This window comes from Homo sapiens, chromosome 13, assembly GCF_000001405.40.
Source record: "Homo sapiens chromosome 13, GRCh38.p14 Primary Assembly".
In the NCBI taxonomy this organism is placed as follows: Eukaryota; Metazoa; Chordata; class Mammalia; order Primates; family Hominidae; genus Homo; species Homo sapiens.
The window spans coordinates 96,934,733-96,957,106 of NC_000013.11; the positions used below are offsets into that span (position 1 = coordinate 96,934,733).

At 40.3% G+C, this 22,374-nt stretch overlaps 1 long non-coding RNA gene and 2 pseudogenes across 1 annotated transcript in view; all 3 read right to left on the bottom strand.

Annotated features, from left to right (window-relative positions):
- Positions 1 to 6,548: 6,548 nt before the first annotated feature.
- LINC00359 (long intergenic non-protein coding RNA 359) overlaps positions 6,549 to 22,374 on the bottom strand; it is a 42,892-nt gene continuing 27,066 nt past the window's right edge. Inside the window, exons 2-3 of the long non-coding RNA NR_051966.1 lie at positions 21,130 to 21,231; positions 6,549 to 7,067 (exon numbers count right to left, since the gene is read on the bottom strand). This is a non-coding gene — a long non-coding RNA (long intergenic non-protein coding RNA 359). The remainder of the gene's footprint in view (positions 7,068 to 21,129; positions 21,232 to 22,374) is intronic.
- Positions 11,863 to 13,552, bottom strand: TULP3P1 (TUB like protein 3 pseudogene 1; annotated as a pseudogene).
- Positions 14,517 to 14,801, bottom strand: RN7SKP7 (RN7SK pseudogene 7; annotated as a pseudogene).

Below are 22,374 nucleotides of genomic sequence, written 5' to 3' on the forward strand. Positions count from 1 at the left end.
TGACATTTTCAGAGCTGCAATCCCTGCTTCTTCTTAAAATGGCTATATACATTGTAGGTTGGGAGGGTCAGAAGGCTGATCACGGAAATATCTCGGAGGTAGAGTGGTGTGTGGGAGTAGGCAATGAGAGAGGTAAGAGGACAAAATGTAGAGAAGGAAGCAGAATGGGCTATCACCTTCTTTTGTTTCTTCCCACTGTATGTGCCCCCAAGGAAGCCCCTCAGCTGCTCCCTTCCTTGCCCCCATGACCCACAGACGGTGGTTGAACCACAGCTCTCTCTTTCTGATAACACCCTTTGGTGTGAAACAAGTAAGACTCCAGATTCCTGTTTGCTCTAAAAATCCTGAATGGCCTTCTGTAATCATTACATTTTATTACTCTCATTTGATTGTTTTGTTTTTTTTTTCCCCGTTAGATATTTTCTAACTGCTCTTCTGCAGACAGGACACTCGCAAATGAACACAGCAAGCACACAGGCATCTGTGTCTCTATTCAGAAGTATCACAAGTGAAAGGATGATGCCCATTGCCTGGGGCCCTTTTTATTCCACTTAGCCTGACTACTGAACTGGCAAGTGCAGGTAACGGCTTTCTCGCAGAGTCTCTGAGCACCGTGACTGTGTAATGACAGCTGTGGTTGGAGGGCCCAAAGCTGCCTCACAAATACATTTACTGTTTCTGAGGAAATGGTATATGAATTGGGTTTTTTGAGTGTTGGAAAGAGAAGGCTAAAAGGTGCTTTAGTTTATAATTTTCAAGTATATGAAAGGGCGGGGTATTTTTCCTCCTAAGGAGAATGAAAGCTTTTAATGCTTACAATGAAATATGAAGTAGTAAACTTAAAGCAGACAATCTTTCCATTGGCGTGAGAAAGCAGCTCCTAACCGTCATGCCTGTGGAAACACTCAAATGTGCTACGCAGCAGATTTGCTGGTGTCTCTCTTAGATATAGTAAAAGTGTGCTCAATAAACTTAGTTTTTCCCCTTTCTGAGTATAGCAGGCAGGTCACACACTCTGTTAATGTTTCTCTCAGTGCCCCCTTCCAAGTGCACTTAATATTTTGGGCAACATCCAGTTAGAATTTGCATGTCTGCTCCTCTTGGAATACATGTCCACCTCTGCCCATCCAGTATCACCTACTTTCCCTCTCCTAGGAAAGGAAGAGAGGTGGAACCTGTATTTATTAAATACCTGCCATGCACCATACCCAACAGATGAGAAAACTGAGATTCAGAGACATGAAGTCATCTGCTCAAGGCCTCTAGCCAGCCTGACTCAAATGCAAGCATCATCCAGTCTGCAGCCGCACATTTCTAAAGCCTTTATAATTCACAGCCTCTCGTTTTGCAGAGACTCTCTCTGCCTGGCCTATTTGTTCCAGCTTCATGGCAGCTTTATTTAGGTGATAATAGAAGAATCCTGCTGCTTTATGAGGTGATAATCCAAGCCTTATGTGGATAACTATTCTTTTAGGTTGAGTGGTTTATCCCTTTGATAAAAAGAGGTAGATTATTGTTCCGAAAACCCAAAGTCTTCCTTTCATTCTTGCATTAGATAAAGAAACTTACATATTTACTTTTAGCAGAGGCCTCAAAGGGAACCCCAAGCTGAGATGAGCAGACCCTCTGCCAGCAGAAGCCAGGTATCAGAAATGCTCTTCCTTCTCTGTTGGCTGAGATTTGAGGAAGTCACCTGCAATTTTGGGGATTTTCACCTTTTTCCTTTTATTTGTACTTTTAAAGGGGTTATAGGGTGAGCAACTGTCCCATTTTTCCCTGGGACTGTCCTGGTGTTAACACTGAAAGTCCTGCATCCCAGAAAACCCTTTAGTTCTGGGCAAACCAGGATGATTAGCAACCCTGCTTAAAACCTCAGCTGGAAGAAATAATAAAAAGACAAAGTGGACAGTTAAGTGGGAACTAAAAGAGAAGTTTGTTAAAAAATAATTTACTATCTCGAGGCATTGCAGCCACTTTCAGGTTTTTCTGGTGACAGAGTGGGGTCTTTTAGGAAAACAACCTAAAAATCCATAACTGGGGACTGGCTAAATAAAATTTGAATGCTCAATCACTGGAATGTTATGCGGCCTTAAAAACTAAGAGGGCAGATGTATACATGACCATATTGAATAATTTCCAAGGTTGGAACAAAAATAATCACGTATAAATATTTTGCACATACAATTTATGGAAAGATACTGTATCAATTTTCTATTGCTGTATAACAATGTCACCTTAAACTTAGTGCTTAGAACAATGCACACTTACCTCCCACTTTCTTCGGGTTAGGGGTCTGGGCATGGCTCAGTCAGATTCTCTGCAAGGCTACCATCAAGGTGGTGGCTGGGGCTGTGTTCTCATTTGGAGTTTTGACTGGAGAAGGAGCTACTTTTTCAAACCCATGTGGTTGCTGGCAGAATCCAATATTGTGGTTGTAGGACTGAGCGCTTTCCTCTACCAGCACTGTCTGTCCGTGGGAGGCCACTCTCACCTTCTACCAGCTGCCCACAGTTTCTTGTCATGTGAAGTTTTCAGCATGGCCATTTGCTTCCTCAAAGTCAGCAAGCAAGCAAGAAACTCAAGCAAGATAGCACTACAGTCTTCATAACATAGTCACATCATCACATAATTGTCATCACATATAGCCCGCCCCCTTTCCTGTGTTCTCTTGGTCAGAAGCAAGTCATAGGTCCTGCCCTCTTCAAGGGATGAGAGAGCTCAAGGGTGGGAAACTAGAAGTCGGGGGTCATTAGGCCACCGTAAAGGTCTCTGCTACAGTATCTAAGAAACTGGCAGCAGTGCTTGCCTCTAAAGAGAGGGCCCAGAGCACAGAGTGGGGAGAGACTTACTTTCATTCTTTTTCACACATTAATTTTGGTTTCCTTTGCCAAGTGCATTCATTACATTTTTTATTAAAACAAAACACATACCATAAAACAAAACAACAAAACAAAAAACCTCCAGACAAACACATTTCACTACTTAGTTAAGAAAATAAAAGACAAAGGACACAGCCTTTTTCCCCTAGGCAAATGCCATCGCAACCCTTTAACTCCAGCACTATACGTGCTCAGCACCAGCGCCTGGCCAATGCTGACAGATAACTTCACCTATATATCAAATTCAAGGCGTGTTTTATAACAACTTTAAGACTTTGCAAAGAAATGCTATTGTATCTCAGCCAGGTGCAGTGGCTTACACCTGTAATCCCAGCACTTTGGGAGGCCAAGGCAGGTGGATCATTTGAGGTCAGGAGTTCGAAACCAGCCTGGCCAACATGGTGAAACCCTGTCTTTACAAAATACAAAAAATTAGCTGAGCATGGTGGCCTGAGTCTGTAATCCCAGCTACTCTGGAGGCTAAGGCAGGAGAATCGCTTGAACCTGGGTGGCAAGGGTTGCAGTAAGCTGAGATCACGCCACTGCACTCCAGCCTGGGCAACAGAGCAAGACTCGGTCTCAAAAAAGATGGTATTGTATCTTTTAAAGACTTTGTTATGGCGTATTCAGTTTTTTGGAAAGGTTATCCTGTGAAAAGTGGTCCATTCAGTATTAAAGAGTAAACCAGAATAATGCCATTTGTGGTATAGATGAAGAGACTACAAGCATGCTGATGTTTCCTCACAGGGATGTACTAAGAAGCTGCCTGGAAAGCAAACAGCTCTGAGATCTCATAAACGCCCAGCCTGGTCCATGGCCCAGCAACATTGCCATCACCTTGGAGCTTGTTAGAGAGGCAGAATTTCTATTTGCACGCTAGATTTACTGAATCAGAATTTGCATTTTTAGAAAGTTCAAACGCATGTTAAAGGTTGAGAAGTTTTCTTCTAAACTACCCCATACTACTCCGTAGAGTACAATACAGACCCAGAAAAACTCACCCACATTTTCACAGTAAATATCCACACAGGAATGCTTATTGCAGTATTGTTTATAAGAGCCAAAAAACAAAAAACCTGGAAAAATAAAACTAATTGAACATCTGTAGGGGACTAAAAAATAAACTGCAGTGTATTTACCGAAGGAACACTATAAGAAGTTAAAATTAACAAGCTACAGCTACATATATCATGGATATATAGATAAATTAACATGTGGATAAATTTCATAAAGATAATATTTAGCTCAAGAAAAAGGGAATAAACAAAAACCCAAGTTGCAGGAAGGAATATACAATATAATACCATTTATGTAAAGGTCAAAAATGTGGTGTATGGATACATACATAAGTAGTGAAATAAGCATGAAAAATGACAAATGCCAAGTTCAAGACAGTGGTTTCACTTGAGATGAGGAAAAGGGGAATGAGGAAAGATAAACAGAGCATTTTCAGTGTATATTTTTCATGCTAGATGGAAGGTACATAGAGGTTTATTATATTTTCTCTACCTTTTTTGTATACTAAAAATATTTCACAATAAAAAAAATGTACAGCTTTTCTAGATGATGCCAAATTTTCCTTCAAAATATATAGATGTGTAACCTCACAAGCAGCGAGTGGGGTTCCCATAACACCATGTCCTTACCCAGTCTCAGGTAGTCAGACTTCTAATTTTTGGCTGATCTGCTAAGCAGGTGAGAAATGGCATCATATTGTTTCTTTAATCTTCCTTTCTCTCTTTTATAAGGGAGGTTGAACATGCCCTCATGAGCTTATTGACCGTCAACCTTCCTCTTCCAGGAATTGAATTTCACGCCCCTTGTGCTTTTTTTCTGTTTATTTGCTTTACCTTATTGTTTTGTAGGAAACACTAATTAAGAGCACAGGGAATGCAAGTTGATGTCCTTATTCTGTTTAAGTTGAAAGTAGGATCTCTCTTAAACCAGTCAGAGCAAAGGCTAACGGAAGATGTCTAGATAGAAACTGGGTTGTATCTTAGGTTTACCGCTGAAACCATACACTTAACATTTGTGTTCACTACAGTTAAATGCATTACTATTAATGCATTATTATTAAATGTGTGGCTCTGAAAAAGTAAGGTCAACCCTAAAAATCAAAAGAAGCAAAAAATGTTCCTGTATGAAGTTAGTATCTAATGGGGTCTTCAAGTTGATGTCACTCTTCTTGCATTAAAAAATATAAAAACAATCAATTAAACAACTAAATGCATGGGATTAGCAACTCTACATGTTTCTTCATGGTAACATTGTATTACTGTGCAGAGCTTCACAATTTTATTCATTTTTGCTGCCATTTTTAGGGGGAAAAAGCCAACAAAATAAATTAGCAAAAATTGTTGAGATTTTCCCAGTTAGCTGTAATTTGTATTAGTCCTGTGTATGTGTGGGTGTGAGTAAGCGTGTGTGTGGTCTTTAAGAAAATGACAACCTCTGGAAGTGACTTAATGGAAGAAATTTCTTTTTGTATTTGATCCTTCTATAGCTGTCACTGTTTATATCTTTAAAAAAAAGACACATTTTCTTGTTTAAACTAGGAGGAATCAATTTATTTAGAATGCTGGAAAATCTTTATGCTAAACAATTAAGGAATCTCGTTTATGTGATAGATGTTCCTCAGCATATTTTTGGTAGCAGCCCAAAAACAGCTTCAGTTCCATTTATCATGGGAAAGGTAGCGTTGCCTTGGTGAATGACACACTTATTGCTTTAAGTAAAAATGGGCCTTTTCTCAGCCCCATAGTGTCAACGGGAGTTTTAAGCATTGCAAAACAGAAACTTCATAGACATGTGTTATAATGCTTAAGTTTGAAATTTAACCCTGTTTGCAGGGACTGGCTGTATTGCTCCAAGATTTCAGATATATTTAAACTCCTCAAGGACTCGGTCATTTGCTCATTGATTCTCAACCTTTCTGTGCTCCCTCAGCTCTCAGTGCGCCCCTCAATTGTGATTCAGCCCACATCCCTGCATTGAGCCTGACATTAGGAAATGGAGGGATTGCACAGGCACAGTGACCACCACCAGGCAACGCCAAGCTGAGCAGGGCAGGCAGCAAAAGCACATCAAGAACACTGTCTTAGGCTCGCCAGGCAAATGGAAGATTTGGAGACATCCCATCTGCCCTAGATAAACTTTTGCATAACAAATGGTGCCAAGATACTGGGGCCATGAAAGGTCTGTAAAACAGGATCAGTCTGAGCATTCAAGGAAAGGGGATTCTTAGGAACTACCATGAGTTCACCTAGCTCCCTTCATCAACTTCTTTTTCCAGATCTATTTGGAAATTAGTGATTGAGAGTGAAGCCCGCCACCTCTGGGCCCATGCAGTTGTGTGTTGTGGATCCATTGGCTGTGTGTGAGCAGGAACAGATGGGGTCAACCAGTGCCATGAAGCAAATAAGAACAAAGGAGAAACTTACAGAGTAAGAAATTGAGGAAGCTCTGGGACATGAAATAGCTTGCCCACAATTCTCATGGCTAGTTGGTGCATAGCAGAGATTACATCCATAGGTATGACTCTCAAGCAATTATAAATATCTAATATGGCATAATATGATGACTAACTCTCCCTGCCATCTCAGAGTGACAACATCTTATTGCCACACTTCTTGGCTTAATCTTAAGACTTCCAGCTCTCTCTCCCACCCCCCGGTTCACCCTGTCTCTCTCCACTCCTGTTTCTTGCTGCTCATCTATACTTTCTGGCCAACTTGTCACTAGCTCACCTTGCTTCCCCAGCTGATCTGGGGACTGCTGTGCCCCAAAATGTGAACATACACAGCACTTCTTCTCTCATCTCCCTCATTTCTCCAAACACTTACTGCAAACACATAGTCAGGTCATGAAAGCACCAAACTTTGTCTGAAGGATTTAGCACAATATCAGTGCTGGACACAAAACAGAAGGTAAATAAAAATAACGTTAACAAATGTAGGTATGATGGAAAGACGCTGTGTATATATTTGACAACTTATAATTGGGTGTCAGACCTCACTGGCCTGACAGTTCATTTGCTGCTTCCTGCTGCAGGGAATATCATAATGATCTTCGTCCTCCACAGGTCCCAGCTGGCTACGGTGTAGCTGATCTCTCCAGAGACCTTTCTCTCTATTTTATCACCTCTCTTCTCTGAGTTCAGCCTTCCTCAAATTCTCCTTCCTTCTTGAGCTGTTAAGAAAAAACAGAAATTTCTTATTATTTAATTTGTAGAATAATTTTGCTTTTTTGTCTCTGTCTTCCCACTTTAGACTACCCTTGGGCCCCACCTGTTATCACCAAAAATGTTGTTCACGTGTTTTCCCTAAAAAAAAAATTTTAAGTCTCTACAATTTGTAATACAAACACAGTTCCTTCTTGTTCTTGTATTACAAATTTTAAATTCCTTTAAAATTACAATGTTTTTATGGCTTTACATATATTAGATTAAAAATCTCAGAATAATTATATTAACATTTCCTCCAACAATTACTGAAAACAGTTTAAGTGATTTTTTGCAGGGAATTTTTTTCCTTGGGGTATATCCCTCTGGGGTTACACAATCATTTACGTTTTTTAAAATCACTTAGAACAACTTTTCTCTGTGTGGTTTTGTCACCAAGTGGATAAATGGGTAAGGTCATTTATGGAATTTTACTTTCAATTCTAACTAATTCCTTTTTAATTTATTTAAAATTTTTAATAGACTATTTACAAGCTTCCAAAGTAAAATCTGCAATGTGTGGTATGCATCCTTTTTCTCCTCTTGTTCCTCTCAAATCAATCTGGACCTGGCATTCATAATGGTCTTTGCAAAATGCAGATCCTGGGACCCTTCCCCCTTCCTGCTTGCAAACATTCACTCACTGCTCCAAACACTTTAGCATGGTTGACTGGGCTGTGCGTGAGCAAGCCCTTACCTCCCTCTCCAGCTCCTTCTCCATCCTTACTCTTGATGCTCCACTTAAAACTGAATTCAGTCAGAGGCTTGAAAGTATCAGGCCTTTCTTTTGCTTCAGCTTTTGCCAATTTCACTCCCTTTGTCTGAAGCACTCCCATTGCTCACATACTGTGTGGGTTTACCCCCATTGTTGCTTTTGTTCAGGCATGTGGTTGTGGCTAATCTGCCTTATGGAACAGGAACTGCCCCTTCTTGAATGCCCAAGCTCTCTGCCTCACACTGGGAGAAGATCTTCTCCACATGCAGACAACCTTTATAATAATTAAGGAAATATGTCATTTGAGCAACAAATGTACAGGTGTCAGCCTGTACTCCATGGTGCCAGCTATAGCCGCTCCAGAAGGATTCTCTGTGGATCAAGGTCCTCTTCCATGCACCCATGACACTCCACATACATGACATTCAACACACTGTCATATACATGCCTACTAATGTGTCTGCATCCTGCACTGAAATGTACGCTCTGCGAGGAGACAGACTTTTTCTATTTGATTCACCATTTTATCCCCAGACAGAAGAACTTGTCTGACTCTAGGGCCTCCACCACCCTATATAGTTTCTTTGTGAGCAGCTGAGTGCTCTTCTGCAGTCTACACACTGCACAGTCATACACAGCAGCCCTGCCTGGCATAAAGTATTTTCTCATTAAATATATATCGAGTTAATTAATCCTTGATTTTGACCTGTATTTCCTAATAGCTTTACTGCTGATCCTCTTTTTCTTTTTAAATTTTATTTTCAGTGTTTTGAGCATTCTTTAAACATGAATTTCTCTGAAGAAGATTGCATTACCATTTTTCAAAACAAACTTCATTTCACAAGCCACACACCCCAACCCTCTGCACCAAGATGCCCACCTGATCCACCAACAATGACGCACACTTTTTTTTTTTTTTTTTTTTTTTTTTTGACACAGAGTCTCTCTCTGTCGCCCAGGCTGGAGTGCAGTGGTGTGATCTCGGCTCACTGCAAGCTCTGCCTCCCGGGTTCACACCATTCTCCTGCCTCAGCCTCCCAAACAGCTGGGACTACAGGCGCCTACCATCATGCCTGGCTAATTTTTTGTATTTTTAGTAGAGACAGGGTTTCATTGTGCTAGCCAGGATGATCTCGATCTCCTGACCTTGTGATTCGCCCGCCTCGGCCTCCCAAAGTGCTGGGATATGCACTTTTTATTTGAAAGCTGGCTTCTTCTATTTTCAGTTCTTTGAAGGAATAGTGGATGGTATAGGAGAGGATGCAGCTGGAACCATTACTATTTGTTCAGCAGAGACAGCAGGCCCTGTACTTCGCCTACTTCAAAGCTTGGGAGAATTTGGAAGCAGAAAGTTCACAATCGCTACTGTGTGGTTTTACCCTCATTATTCCTTTTGTACGTGCATATGGTTGCAGCTAATCTGCCTTGTGGAACAGGACCGACCCCTTCTCCTTGAATGCCCAAGCGGTCTGCCTCACACTGCAAGAAGACCCTCTCCACATGAAGAGAAGCTTCAGAGTAATCAAGGAAATACATCATTTGAGCACCAAGCCTCCTTTCCTCCACATTGTTGAGAGAATTGTCAAAATACCACTGTTGTTATAATTAAGGTTCTTCAAAATACAAAGATATTCATGGAGAATGCTTCCTCCCACATTCCATGTGTGCTACGATGAGAGCCTGATGTCCCCTTCATAGCCTGCATTCTAAAGACAGGGCAGCTACTCTGTCAGCCCCTAGCTGGGCCCTTTTTAGGCCCTCTCTAAAAGTCTTCAAATCTGGAAATATTGCACTGATAAAGTATTTTTAGAACTGTGCTTTTTGTTTTTCTGCTTAAAGAACAGGGAGAACACATCTAAGTGTTATAGGAGGAGGATCTGGACATAGATCTATCTCCTCTTCAAGCATTCCTTCCAAGTCTCCTTGTATTGCTTCCTGAAATATTTATATGAGCAAATACCTCAGCTTATCGTAAGGAAAGTCTGGGATGACATAGTCAAATACACTCATCTGTAAAAGAAGATAAAAACTCGCAATGGGTACAGAGGTGGCCAACTGCTGTTCAACATTAGATCTGTTAACAGCAATAAGTAAATATTGGTGAAATCAGTTTTTTTCTTTCACTTCAAGAACTAGGCAAATACATCATCATGGAAATAATTTTCTAAAGGGCAGATTTAAAGATTTGTGTTGGGAAAGACTAAAGGTGACTCTTTCTCAGGTACCTAAAGCATGGGCAGAGCTCTTAGGCTGTCCAAAAAATTCACTTATTTTTTTTCTTCTGCACTTAACAGTTTTACAACCTCACTTTTAAAAAAGCATTTAGCATGATGTATCTGAAATTATTTTTCTATTAGTTTTATATGTTTCTATCTTTTCATAGGCTTATTTTTTATCTTTCTAAATGAATATTAATTTTTAATGAACAAATCATGTTTGCCTCACTAGAGTGTAAGCTCTATGGGGAAAAACCTTTCCCCACTATATTCTCAGCAACAAATACATAGCAGAACATCAATAAATATTTGTTAAATAAATAACTTTTCAGAACCACCTACTATGAGTAATAATGTCATTAAAATAAAAGTGTTTACTGGGCTTTTATTCTGTGATTGATACATGCTGAGGGTTTTACATAGATTCTTTCATGCAATGTTCACAAAACTCTACAAGATAGGGTTGGTCATTATTATAGTTTTACCAGATGAGAAAATAGAGGAGCAGAGAAAAACAGGTGTGAGACAAGTTCCAGACAGGAACCGGCAGTCTAGTCTGCAACCAAAGGCAATTTAACTCCAGGATCAGTTAAGCCATCACCCTCTACTGCCTTTGAGGTCAGAGACACAAGGAAGGAAAGTAATCAATATGACAAAAAAAAAAAAGTGGAGTCCATCCCAGAATACTCCAGGGTTTGATTATGTTTATATAGGTAGCCCTCACTGTACATGACTCCACTTTGCGTGAATTTCAGTCATCATGGTTTAGTTGAATAACATCAGTGCCCCAACAACTTAGGGGTTTTGTTTTTTGTTTTTTTGAGATAGAATCTCACTCTGTCCCCCAGGCTGGAGTGCAGTGGCATGATCTCAGCTCACTGCAACCTCTGCCTCTTGGGTTCAAGTGATTGTCCTGCCTCGACCTCCTGAGTAACTGGGATTACAGGCATGCACTACCATGCCTGGCTAATTTTTGTATTTTTGGTAGAGATGGAGTTCCGCCATGTTGGCCAGGCTGGCCTTGAACTCCTGGCCTTAAGTGATCCACCTGCCTCGGCCTCCCAAAGTGCTGGGATTATAGGTGTGAGCCACCGTGCCCACCCAACATCTTCGTTTAAATTTTAGTTCCCATGGTAGATTGTGAATAATGACATGAAGTACAAATTTTGCTGCAAGCTCTTCACTACTTAAATCACTTTGTAAATAACAGATGTACATCATGATCAGTAACCAACCTAATCACTTCTTTTAAAGTGTACTGGTGATCGGTCACTGTTGCATTTGTTATTTGTTCAGTTTCCACACAGACAACAAAGGCATGTAGTTGTGTTCCCTCTTTGTCTCCCAGTGATAGACCTACGAGACATTTTATAAAAATAGGCAATCAAGAGAGGGAATTGGCCAACAAAGCTGTCCAACAAAAAATGAAAATTGATAGCATTGGATGTGAAATTCAAATCAAACATAAATGGATTCATAGAAGCAATAGCCGGCCATGGGAATGTTGATGCTGCTGCCATTGAGAGACTCAGTATGCAGCCAGAGGAGCTTAGTGAAGGCGAGCTTGTCAGCCTAAATGAGAGGAATGGTTGTGAAGAAAAGAATGAAGATGTCATAGAGGAAGTGAAGCTGGTAAGAAGAAAACTTCACATTATAGGAATTCTCAGAGATACTTCAAGACATCGAAGACACAAAGAATACAACGGTGCAAGCTGATCTAAATTTAGAAAGGAGTATGACAATCGGATAAAGCATTGAAAAGATGCTGGCTCCATGTCGTCAGTTTTATGATGAGAAGAAGGTAAGCACTGCCTATTCTCTCTTTTTCTATGGAAATTAACTTTTATTTCTATAACATATAAAAGGTATAAATAGGACTTATATAAAACCAATAATTGCACACACAAACGGGAATTATGTGAAATTAGGTTATTTATATATCTCTTTAAGCCAGAGGGAGGAGGAAGAACAGGATGAGGTCCAGTAGGCCCACCGTTAAGTTCTCCTTAGCTTCTGTGTTCAGTGAAGGTAGCTTGCCAGGCAGTGCCTCAGGATGACAGTGTGGGGAAGGGGAGTGGAGAGTGTGGGAGGAGTGATGGTGACGAGTTGTGAGGCTTCTGGGCACGGCTGTGCGGGAGGCACTTGAGGGGAAGCATGACTGAGATGGAAACAGTCTTGTCCACACCCAGCAGGTGGGACTTGTCAGTGGGAGATGAGCCAAGGGTCTTCGCAGCTCCCAGTTGGCTCTCCTTAACATGCTTATCTAATATGGTGTAGCATAGGCAGGGATGAGAGGTCAGTCCACAGAAGGGACATCAAAGGGAGCAGCCGCCACAGGTGCCTCGCCCAATGCTGGCAGTTATGTGCACAAGGGCTGTGGCTGAACGGTGCTGACAGCAGAGCTCACAGAACTCTTGCTTTCTCAAGTTTCAGACACATTCTGGGAAGGGCAAACTGGTCTATGAGTCACATAATACGCAGAGGGGTGCTGATAATCCAAAAAACTTAGCAAAACACCTTTCGTGCCCATGATCCAGGCTTCAGGGAGCCAAGAAGAAAGCCCAAAGCCCTGCCTAGGCCTGCAGGGCTCGCGTTCACTGGGAATCCTCCCCAAAGCCTCTCCTGCCACCTGTTTTTTTTGTTTTGTTTTTTGGTTGTTTTTTTTTTTGAGACAAAGTCTCGCTCTGCCCAGGCTGGAGTGCAGTGGCACGATCTCGCCTCACTGCAACCTCCAGCACCGGGGTTCCAGACATTCTCGTGCCTCAACCCCGCGAATACCTGGGATGACAGGCGCGCTACTGAACCGGTACATTTTTGTATTGTAGAGCCAAGATTTCGCCACGTTGGCCAGGCTGGTCTCGACCTCCTGGCCTGGTCTCGACCTCCTGGCCTCAAGCCATCCACCCGCATCTGCTTCCCAAAATGCTGGCATTACAGGTGTGGGCCACCGCACCCGGACCATAGTTTTGTTCTGCCATCTTGAGAACAAGCTGCCGTCGTTATTTCGTGGCTGAAATGGGATCTGCTCGTGATTCACCGTCATTCCGGGAATGATCACAGACATTTTCCTAGGACCTTCAGATCCCACTTCACCTGTTTCACAGGAAACGACAGCCAGCTCCTGCCGTGTGTGAGCCTTCCCTACCAGACTCCGGCCATGATGGGGCAGACGCCGCGGTCATAAACTGTAAACTTGGTTCCCCTGAGGTTAGATCTAAGTTTGCCAGTATACCTTTCTCCTTCACGAGATAAATCAGTTGGATCAGTGGAGATAAGGCAGTTGGATGATTTGCTCTTTTCCCGCTTTCTAGCTGTAAGAAGAAATGTCTTCTGATTTTCTTCTTTTTCCAAGTATATACAGTAAGTGGAGCAGGGGCCCCAATCCATTCCTTTTTTTATCCCTGATTATATGACATCTTACTGTGACACTTCAAGGGGCAGGACTATGCTTAAAAGTCCTCCAGGCCCTCCACTTCTCGCAGCCGGTTATGCAGCGGTTGGGCTGCAAAATCGAAAACGGAAGCAAAGTCCTCCAGTTCCTCCACTTCCCCCAGCTCGTTACCGGCCGGTTGGGCAGCAGCATAGGAACCGGAAGCATTTGCATCTGTGGTCGAGTGCAGGCTGGATGTGGAATTGGGTCTTTCTTTTTCTGAATATGTAGCCTGGGATCTTATTTTCTTTCCTTCTTCTTCCTCGCCATCAGTCTCCTCATCAAAGTTCAGACTATCTGAGATACTATTGTTTTTGGAAAATCTTCTGAAGATCTGGCTTGGAAGCAGTATCCAAGGTGTTTTCCCCATCAACACTCTCTTCAGCATTTTCTCCCAGAACAGGGGAGCTGACTGAAAGAACATGAACTTTGGTTTCCAAATCTTGAGCATCTGGCTTCATGACTGCAGCCGGACCATCAATGCCATGAAGACGACATTGCTGTGGGGGGTATGAGAGTCCATCAAAGGAGTCTGCTCCTCATTGGCCTTTGGCTTCACCCAACTTAGCCTGACTTCTGGATTTGGCTGCACCATGAATGGCTGAAGGTGCTTTTTTCTCTGCTTCTTCTTAAGCAGTGCTCTCTGATTATCCAGTGCCAGCTGTTAAAGTTTCATCGTCTCATCGTGAAAGACACTGTCCCCACTGGAACCAAGCCGGCAGCAACTGGCATTCATGCCTGCTGCTGTTTAAGTGGCAGCCATGTCCCCACTCCTAGCCACCCATGGCTCTAAACTACTTTTAAGAGCTTGTTGGCCAGGCGTGGTGGCTCACACCTGTAATCCCAGCGCTTAGGGAGGCCAAGGCGGATAGATCAGGAGGTCAGGAGATCGAGACCATCCTGGCCAACATGGTGAAAACCCATACCTACTAAAAATACAAAAATTAGCTGGATGTGGTAGTGTGCGCCTGTAGTCACAATTACTCAGGAAGCTGAGGCAGGAGAATCACTTGAACCTGGGAGGTGGAGGTTACAGTGAGCTGAGATCGTACCATTGCACTTCAGCCTAGCGACAGAGTGAGACTCCGTCTTAAAAAACAAAAGAGCTTGTTTGGAGAGTGTATCATGGGGGTGCAGCTACTCCTATACCTTTGCTCAAAGACTGGTCCTCTTCTCTGGGGGACGACCTCTTCCACGGAGCGTGCACTTAGGGAGGGACAGGAGGGATGCACATAGAGCGGTGAGCGAAGAAGAGCACACACGCCTAGCCAGCCAGGTCAGCCGAATCAACCCTGGCGATCAATAGGGTAACAGACGTCTCAGCCAGATCACCCTCATATCCTAAAGCACTCTTAATTAATTTTTTACAAATAATAAAATGCTTTCATCCTCAGTGTTTGTGTTTTCAATTATAGTATACTAAACATTAATTTTACTATTTTCATTATTTTTAGTACATTTACAAACTTGACAAGAGTAATGATTTCACAAAAAATTTTTAAAAGTTACAGAAAGAATTTTCACATTGACTATTAAAACCATTTTGCATGGTTTCAGCTTACATCTGCAAAGTAGGGACAACTAGTATTCAAAAGAACTTCATGAGTAAATAGTAAACATGTTTGAACTATGAACCACAAGTTTAGATGGTTCAAATTATTGCTATCTTCTTGCAACATATATCAAGGGAAAGGCTTTAAGACTCTAACTAGCTTATAAGTCCCATGGGAAAAGCTGATTCCATGAGAACAGGAAGGTGCAAGGAGAAAAGGGCTAGCTTTTGAGAAGCAAGAATCTGAATTATATATTGGCTTATCAATTCTATAGTCTTGAGCACTCATTCAGTAGCTGAGACTTTAGTCTCATCTGTAAAATTTAGAGTAATACAGATTTTGCAGGATAGTTCTGTGTATGAGAAAAAATATGCAGGCATGTGTATACATGTGATGTGGCAGAGAGCACTTCAAAAGGCAGCCTGCTGGTTTGGATGACTGTGGACATCCCCATGCAGGGCATGGCCAGGTCTGCATGGTTAAGGTTAGGCCAATAGCTGGCACTAGCTATGTGGCATCTTGGATTTTCTAATAAAAATTTTAGATATTCCAGAAAATATTTGCAAACTCTGCAGTTTCTTTTCACATATACTTGTTTCTCTGATTCCACATTCATAGAAAACCTACCTTAGGTTCTCTGTTTCTCTTTTTGTTTGAGTACAGTACAAAAAGAATAAAATTTTAATAACTACTATTATGTGTTAACATATAATGAGGCTATTTCCATGTTCGCACAGATGGTCTCAAATAACTAAAGTTATTACAACCAGTTCTCATAAATATGGAGCTTCTCTACTAGTTTCTTCGATCTCTATCAATAAAATATTGTTATTTTGATATGCATTTTTGTAATAAACTTTTATACTATGCTAGAAATTTGCTAGAAATGTAAATTAGTTATGTTTCTTCTGCAGGAGAGTCAGAAGAAGGGTTTTTACGTTAAGCATCCTCCTGCCTGGAGTTTGCATAAATACATTTGGGTTGGTGGTTTGTTAGCTGGGATCTGAAAGAGAGTTGAGGGATGCCAGAGTTGTCCTTGGAAAGAGTCTTGGCTACTGCTTGTCTCTCCAGCTTGAGTCTTACTACTTCTCCACACATTTTCCTCTAAACACCCTGAGTTAGGGGTCTATTTTCCTGAAGCTCATTTTTTTCCTCATCTCTGTACCTTAAAACAATGAAATAGTACAAGAAAGATGTGACGGACCCAACTAAGGTAGTGCCAGAGTGGATGGGGAGCAGGTCTGATTGGGAAAGAGGTTAATGAACCAGATCCAAGTGCCCTGGATCCTCATGTAAATTCCTCACCAACATAAGAAGACCTATTGATATCTGCCCCTGTATGCAACTGCCTATCATTTTCTCCCACCAGCCATAGGAACCATGAACTTTAGGCACCCTCTACCCCCTGTAATCTGCCACTTGTACTATATTCACCTTTACCTGGTCTATTAGCCTGATATAATTTTCTCCCCAATTTTGCCTCCTTTTATTCCCAGAGAAAACTTGTTGCTTTATCTGACTCTGGTGGACTATTTGTGCCCCACCCCTCCAAATTCATATGTTAAAGACTAATGCTCAGTGTGATAGTATTTGAGGGTGGAGCCTTTGGAAGGTATTTGTGTCATGAGAATGGAGCCCTCATGAATGGGATTAGTGTCCTTATATAAGACACAAGAGAGATGGTCTCCCTCTTGACTATGTGAGGATACAGCAAGAAGGTGGCCATCTACAAACTAGGAAGAGAGCCCTCACTAGACACAGGATCTGCTGGCACCCTGATCTTGGAAGTCCTGGCCTCCAAAACTGTGAAAAATATAATTTGTTGTTTAACCCACACAGTCTATGGTTTTATTTTTTTCATTATAGCAGCCCAAATTGACTAAGACAGTGACCTCCCTTGGTAGAATTAAGCACTTTTGCCAGTTGTTCAAAAAGCCCCTTAAGTATACTTCTGCTAAGATATAATATTTATAAAATATAACATATATATATTATTTTGTTGTTGGCATCAGAGTTACTGTTAGGGAAATAACTGTTTTTATTTAAGAAAATACACTAAAAAACTGAAGTTAACAAAAAGTAAGGCCTCAAGGGGATGATTTAGCAGGAACACAGAGTTAGATTAAAGAACTGTGTCCCCAGAAAAGCAGTATGGAGCTGGGAGAAGACACAAGAGAGAGAAGTTGGTAATAAGCTGAAGATATATAAAGAACATGGTGGAAATTACCAGAAGGTAGAAATTGCCAGAATCATTGAGAGATTTAAGAAGGGAGAAATCTAATATTCAGCTTAATGTCTTCTCCCATATCGTGATGAGACAAAATCCTTTCATGCCATTACTCCAACTTATCCCCAGTGAAAGTCCATTTCCTATGGTTGCATCAAGAGAGTGGAATTTTGGGGCATAAAGGAGAAAGATCTGTAGCCTCTGTTTCAGTTGCCATCAAGACAGAGAAAAAGGGACAGGGATCAAAGAAAACACATAGTAGAGAAAAAGAATTCTGAAGACAGAGGGTCACCGGAGTTGACAAGGAAATTTAGAAAAAGAAATCCAAATCCCATCCTTCCTTCATTCCACATCCCTGCCTCTACTCCCCACTGTGAACCATGTACAGTGCCAGTAATTTCTCCACCTGTAAATTTAGAGGGATAAACTAGATGGTCCCTCAGGGCCCCTTATGCTTTAATATTCCATGAATCTATAAAGCTTTGCACCGAACTAGGGGAAAATATTAAAAGTTGTGTCCTATTGTAGAAAAATGTTTGGTGATATGCATTAACTTGATTAGGCACAGGAGATGATATAAATAATGACAGTCATTTAACACCTAAGTAAGAAAAAGAAAAAATTAAGCAAAGTATTCCCATGGCACCCAAAAATGGCTTGTTTAGATTCTTCTGGTAGCTTTGTAGCATCTGTTCTAAAAATTATGATGTGTTTTGAAATTACTACTTGAGTTTATATACAATGTGTGTCAGACATTTATGTAATTATGTTCTTTAAAAAAAAATAGTTCCAGTATCTGTTGGATACAAACATGCTGATATAAGCAAAAATCAATTTCCCTTTCTCTCCAAACCTGGCAATTTAAAGATAGTTAATATAGGCTGTCAGGCAACAATTAATAATAAAGGATTGATCCAATAAATTGATTAAAATGCAATTATGTGGAAGGAAAATATTAAATTATTTCTATTTATCCACCAGAAGCAATTATCTGATTGTGTTTAAGTCAATCCATTTACAAAAAGCTACTACCTGGAAGAAGAGGAGTAAGTGTGTTGGCTGGGTCTACCCATATAAATGATGGTAGGTCTGTCTGTTTTCCAATGGAGGTAGTAATGCAAGGAGGGAGGGAAAACTGTTGAAATTTCTAAAATGAGCAGATATTGATGTGACTTAGTCAATTTTCCATTAGTCATATATTAACTTGATGCATACAGAGCCAGTGGTGTACTGTGCAGAGTTCTGGCTCCAGTGCTTATTGTTTGCATGACCTTAGTTATTACCTGTGCTTCCATTTATTTCTGATATAATATATATACATCATATATATTATATTCTGATATGTATATTCTGTATATATATTATGATATATTCTGTATATATATTATATTCTGATATATATACATAGGTGTGTATTATATTCTGAAATATATACATATGTGTGTATTACTTTGGTTAGAAAATTTTGTCAAAAGAAGGGATTTAGAGAAGGTATTAATTATGTAAGAAATAAGCAAGTGTTTTTTGTTGTAATATTGGGAGGAAAATTAAAGGATTTAGAGGCAATACAACATAATTGTAGAATGGATATAGGCACCTGGGGAAACAGAAAGGACCTGCTATGTATTTATTGCCTACTATATTCCAGACATTGGAATAGGCCAATTACCTGTGGCAACTCATAGAAACTGTCTAACATTCTAAGCAGTTATTATTATATCCATCTTACAAGTAAAGGGATTGAGGGCTGAGGGATGCCAAGTTAATTAGCTAAGACCACAGAGCTGGTAAATGGGTAAGTCATGATCAGACTCAAGTCTGTAGACAACAACCTTATGGCCTTTGCACTACTGCATGGCACTTCTGTGATGATAAGACATGGAGCTTGTAGCCACTAAGACTAGATATCTAAAGCAGAATTTCTTAAACTTTTGGGTCTCAGGACTATTTTACACTCATAAAAAAAGTATTGAGGACTTAAAAGAGCTTTGTTTAATGTGACTAATATTATCACTGCATAGCATTTTAGAAATTAAAATGGAAAAAATTTAAATTATTATTTTAAAATGAGAATTATAAACCCATTACACAGTGGCACAAATAATATATATTTATAAAAACTAAGACTTACCAAAGCAATAAATACTAGTGAGAAGAGTGGCATTGTTTTTCAGTTTTTGTAACCCTCCTTAATGTTTGGCTTACTAGATGATAGATGGGCTCTAATTAAGTAATTTGGATATGTTGTTTTGGTTGAAATACATGGAAAAAAAGGAGTATATTTAGGAGTCATTTCAGATAATTTTGGACATTCTTCTTTGATGCAACACCAAAACGCAACACACGGTAATTTCTTAAAGATTAGTTGCAATGTGAAATATCTGAAACAACATTTCATGTCTTTTAGGTTAAAATTTTTGCCTATCTTCACTTGGAATAGATCTTTACCCTTGTTTGATTTTTTAATGCTTATGCAATGGTCATTTGGAACCTATTGGTTTATTAAGTATTTTCCTAATATTGACATATTTCATTATTCAATGCAAAAAAATAACATTTGCTAATATTACCACAAATCTCATCAAAAAAGCCTTTTAAAATTGGGAAGCTGTCAAACTCATGGGACAGATACAAATTTTCCGTAATTCTAATTTTCACATGAAAGCTTGAACTCTATTACTGGAAACAAATGCTGTCAGTTTTGTTCCTTGAAAGGACAGGTGCATTTTGTTGATTTTCCGAAACTCTTGGCCAAATGCAGAAGTCTGAAAAGCACAGTTTGTCTGTTAGTCACTATTTCAAAAGAAAATAATGTTCCATGAAAAAAGCAGCTAGTTCGGCTTGCAACTTAAGTAATTGCACAAGTGTGTTTGCACAAGACAGCTATGGATTGAAGAATACAGAAATTCTTTACACATACTCCCCATTTTGTCACACACAACCTTAAAAGCATGTTCATTTCAGAATCTAGATGTTTAAAAAATTAATAATAAATTTTGTTGCTTCATTAGAAGCATTCTGAGTGAGACTGAAATATTCCTTTTTTGCTGCAAGTATGTGGAGGTGAAGAAAGTGATGACTATTAGCACAGCTTAGTACCACTGCCTTGGTTTGTGCTATGGGACCAGCAGTTAGACCTACCATTACATTTGCATCAGCAGGGTAAATGACAAACAGTGAGAAGAACAAAATACATTTTTTAGTAGTATTACAAAAATAGCTTTGACATCTTGGATCCCTCAAAAGAATCCAGAGGACCTTCAGAGATGTGCAGATCACACTTCGAAAGCCAGGGTCTAAAGGATTATCTTAATGATTACATAATTAAAAAATGTCAAGCCAATGCTCAGATAAATTTGCTAAGCAAAAGCCTTAAATGTGTATGATTTGATTAAATAGAAAACCCAAGTTTTACAGCATTTAATGTTTGCACGGAGTACAAGAGTAGGTAAATTATGTCAATGCACACAGAGCCACATAGATCCTCCCTCAACCTTTTTTTGGTTTTGGAGTTCCTTCAGGTTTGATCAAAGTCATGGAATATTATTATTATTATTATTATTTTGAGCTGGAGTCTCGCTCTGTCTCCCAAGCTAGAGTGCAGTGGCAAGATCTCAGCTCACTGCAACCTCCACCTCCCAGGTTGAAGTGATTCTCGTTCCTCAGCCTCCCAAGTAGCTGAGACTACAGGCGTGTGCCATCATGCCAGGCTAATTTTTTGCATTTTTTTAGTAGAGACGAGGTTTCACCATGTTGGCCAGGCTGGTCTCGAACTCCTGACCTCAAGTGATCCTCCCGCCTCAGCCTCCCAAGGTGTTGGGATTACAGGCGTTAGCCACCATGCCCGGCCTATGTTCTATTTTAAAATGATTAATGGGAGGAAAACTTACCTTCAGAGAAAGACCCAACACTTTATCACATCAGCCATGTTAAAGTTTCTGAACTTCTTGGTGAAAGCAAATTTTTTATGATCCTTCAGTGTTAGGACAGGTCTAGAAAAGAAAGAGGAAAAAGTGGGAATGAGGAGGAGATAATAAAGGAGGAGATGAGGTGTTGAGTAGGCGACACCAGTGGCTGAACTTGCCTTCTTTACATTACTCCAAACAACTCCTTCCAGGTGACAAGAATCTGCAAAATTGTGGAGGATTCCCTTTTAACATGGTGTATTAGTAAGTTCTCTTATTGCTATAAAGAAATACCTAAGACAGGGTAATTTATAAAGAGAAGAGGTTTAATTGGCTCACAGTTCCACAGGTTGTACAGGAAGCATGGCAGCATCAGCTTGGCTTCTGGGGATGCCTCAGGAACCTTACAATCATGGCAGGAGGCAAAGGGAGAGTGCACTTCACATAACCAGAGCAGGAGGAAGAAAGAAGGAGGAGGTGCTGCACACTAGATCTCATGACAACTTACTATTGTGATGACAGCGCCAACAGAATGTGTTAAGCAATGAGAAATCACCCTAATGATCCAAACCTCCCAACAGGCCCCACCTCTAACATTGGAGATTACAGTTCAACAAGAGATTTTCGTGGGGACACAGAACCAAACCATATCACATGGATTTCCATTTAACATTGTCATAAGTAGATTTGTTTCCTTAAAATGAAATATCTGTGGTACTACTGTATATTTTAAAATACACAATCTGGATGATAATGTGTACAGATAACAAGAAGTCAGCATCGATTTAATGTTCACCATACATGAGGCATACTTCTTAATCTGCGTAGGGATCCAAGTCAGCTGGGCTGGGACACCTGAACTACATGGGTTTACAGATTTCTACATTTTACTCACACAACAATAAGTACTAAGAAAAATGTGAACAAAGCATTTTTTATTGTGTAGAAAAGCAGCTTAACCAATGGTTAAAAGTGTAGCCCCTGAAACAGACTTGCTTGAGTTTCAGCTCCCCTTCCACCATTTACTATATATGTGACCTTGGGTGAGTCCTCTAATCTCCCTGTAGTTCAATTCAGTTCCTTCCATAATATGGACATCAAGATAATAATTTCTAATTCATAGAGTTATTATAAGGGCTAAATGAGTTAATATATGGGAAGTGCTTACAACCAAGCACTACAAGGAGTTTGTTCTCATTGTCACCAACATCATAATCATTACCATTATCA